Source organism: Homo sapiens, chromosome 13 (genome assembly GCF_000001405.40).
Source record: "Homo sapiens chromosome 13, GRCh38.p14 Primary Assembly".
Taxonomy (NCBI): domain Eukaryota; kingdom Metazoa; phylum Chordata; class Mammalia; order Primates; family Hominidae; genus Homo; species Homo sapiens.
Genome location: NC_000013.11, coordinates 87180089 through 87183813, shown reverse-complemented (window position 1 = coordinate 87183813; position 3725 = coordinate 87180089).

The window sequence follows — 3725 nt, the reverse complement described above, 5'->3', positions numbered from 1 at the left end:
ATAATAGTTTTGCAAAATTAAATGAGAAATAGCTAAGGCCAAGATATTCAATTACTGTAGGCTGGCCAGTTTTTTGATGATCTAAAATAAAGACAAGAAGAATCATTTTCTGATGCCATGTCTGTGATTAATATAACTATAGAGAAACAGCTATGCTAAAATTTAGCACATATGAAGCAAAAAAAAATTATATACTAGTTATAGGTTGCTATGGCAATACGATGACAAAAGGATGCTAGTTTTGTAAGAAAAGGTGAGTACATTAATTTAATAAATATAATATGAAATCAAACTAGATAGGTTGAAGATTACTAATGCACATTATGTCCAAATGATTGTAATATTCCGGAGAGAATTTTAAAGAAAATTGAATCATACCTAACATAAAAGTATGTGAATATAAATTACAACTAGTTTAAGAATCACCAGTGCATGTATAAGCTATTTATGTAAACTTTGGACAATGTAAAATAAGGCTGAATACTCCAAAATATTAATAATTATTTTAAAAATTTATAAATTATTGTTAATATTTTTAGAAGAACATTATTTAATGATCCCATCAATATATTCTTTCTGGAGCTCATGTTATTTTCTGTCTAACTTTAATTATTTGCTTCAGGGGGACACATCTTCCACACAATTCCTGAGAAATATACTATGAAAGACAAATTTGAGATCTCGCATATTCCTGAAATGTTCATCTTAAATCCACATACATAATTTTGCATGCTGTCGAATTATACCCCAGAAATAATACCCTCAGAAAGACTTGTTAAGATGTATTCATTTTCTTTCAATTTTCAGTTTTGTTGTTGAGAATACTGGAGTCATTCTGCCTCAATGATTAATTTCCCATCCAGTAATTTGTTAGGATCTCTTTTCTTTGGGATCAGGCCTAATTGTGTTTCTCTATTGAAAAATCATTAGAACCAAGAACTAAAATATTGTTATTGGAATATTCATATTACCACAATCAACTATTAAAATTATATATACATACATACATACATACAAACACACACAGAGAGAGAGAGAGAAATATAAGCCACACATGATAGGATAGGTCCTATGCTGCTTGTTGTCCAATAATTGAAAATAGTGTTTAAAGAAGAACTAAATATGTTCTGAAATATACTGTCCTGCATGGCAAGCCTCAATATTTTTAGATTTCATGTTATTACAAATTGATCTAAAAATGTGAATTTGTCGATTTTGTTTAAATCGACAAGATAAATTTTAAATGTGAATAGAATTGCTAATGATTTAAAGTGACATGATTAACTTTAAAAAGAATGCTTCACTGGTCACACAGTCTGATTTCAAGACTTTGAACTACAATGCTTATGAGAGTGTGACATCTATTTCGGTCCATTTGTGTTTTAACAAAGTACCTGAAACTAGTTGATTTGTTTTAAAAATGGAATTTATGTTCTCACAGCTCTGGAGTGTAGAAAGTCCAAGATAAAGGTACCAGCAGATTCAGTGTCCGGTGAGGATGGCTCTTTGCTTCCAGGTTGGTGTCTCCTGCTGCATCCTCACACGGCAGAAAGGAGGGAAGATTTGTCCTCACACTAGAGAAGGAGAAGAAAGGCAAAAGCGCCAGGCAGCTGTCTGAAGGCTCTTCTGTATGGACATTTAATCTTATTCATGAAGACTGAGCCCTTATGAATTAATCGCTTCCTAAAAGAACATCTCTTCATGCCTTCAGCTTGGGGTTTACGTTCCAATAGATGAATTTTGGAGGGGCAAATACATTTAAATCATAGCAATGATGCAACAAAATTCATAATAAAAAACCCAGTTAATTTAACACAAGGCAGAATCTATAAAAAGACCCACACGTTTAGCCGGGCGTGGTGGCGGGCTCCTGTAATCTCAGCTATTCGGGAGGCTGAGGCAGGAGAAGGGCGTGAACCTGGGAGGCGGAGCTTGCAGTGAGCCGAGATCGCACCGCTACACCCCAGTCTGGGGGACAGAGAAATAAAATAAAATTAAATTAAATTTTAAAAAAGACCCATACATAGAGTCAGCTGATCTTTGAAATAGGTAACAGGACACTTCACAGGGGGTAGGAAGTGGGAGAAAAATGCTATAAAGACACATGCACACGTATGTTTATTGCGGCACTATTCACAATAGCAAAGACTTGGAACCAACCCAAATGTCCAACAATGATAGACTGGATTAAGAAAATGTGGCACATATACACCATGGAATACTATGCAGCCATAAAAAATGATGAGTTCATGTCCTTTGTAGGGACATGGATGAAATTGGAAACCATCATTCTCAGTAAACTATCGCAAGAACAAAAAACCAAACACCGCATATTCTCACTCATAGGTGGGAATTGAACAATGAGATCACATGGACACAGGAAGGGGAATATCACACTCTGGGGACTGTGGTGGGGTCGGGGGAGGGGGGAGGGATAGCATTGGGAGATATACCTAATGCTAGATGACACGTTAGTGGGTGCAGCGCACCAGCATGGCACATGTATACATATGTAACTAACCTGCACAATGTGCACATGTTCCCTAAAACTTAAAGTATAATAAAAAAAAAAAAAAAAAGATTTTAACATAATGATGCTCAAATGACATATTAATTAATACAAAAATGAAGTTTGACTACTATCTTAGGCCTTGAAAAAAATTAATTTGAGCTGAAACGCATACCTAAATACAAAAGCAAAACCTCTGAAACTTCTAAAGGTAAATGCAAGAGTATAGATTTGACACCTTTGGGAAAATAAAGATTCCTTACAAATTTCATGAAAATCACTAAATAAAAAAGAAAAAAATGGTAAATTAGACTTCATTAAATTTACATTTAGGCATAAAAAATGGAATATATAAAGATTAACCATTATCTCAGAAATAATATTCTTCACAAATGTAGTTGGGAAAGGATTCAGATCACAATCGTATAAAACTTCCATAAATCAATAAAACCCATATTTATCCCATTAAATAAGCAAGCAACTAACATTTCAAAAACAAAAATATAAAATGGCTGATAAGCCCATGTACACTGATATTCAACATCATTAGTCGTTAGGGAAATGCAAATGAAATGAGTTACAATTTCACATCCACTGAAACAGCTAAAATTTAGAAAAAACTGACAGTGGAGAATGTTGATGAGCCTGTGGCACAACCAGAACTCTACTACATTGAAAGAGTCTATCAATAGTACATTCATTTTGGAAAATCATTTGTCAGCTTCTTATGAAGTTAAGTGTAAAGTTACCCTATGGTCTCAAATTTTCAATAGAAATAAAATTATAAATAAAGTAAAATTTTTATAGAAATGTCAGAACAGCTTTATTAATCACAATCTAGGAATAACCCAAATTCCCATAAATAGAAAAATTAACAAATTGTGGCATTTCATATAGTGAAATAATACATGATAGTAAAAATGAATGTAGTATTCATAAATGCAGTAACAGGGAGGATCGCAAAAGCATTATTAAATCCGAGTAATACAGAAAAACGCAAGCTACAGACTATGTAATTTAAACTGGTTTAAGCCTTGAAGAAATACGTTTTATATTTGTGGTAGAGTGATGTAGTGATCTCTAAGTCAATCATATCCTCAAGAATTAAATTTGTTTTTGCCTCACTGCTTGGTTACCCACAATATTGGTCTTATCCTAAATCTTTTCTGCCTTGTAGCTATAAGAGGGCTGCCCTTAGAAATTATGCATTTTATTT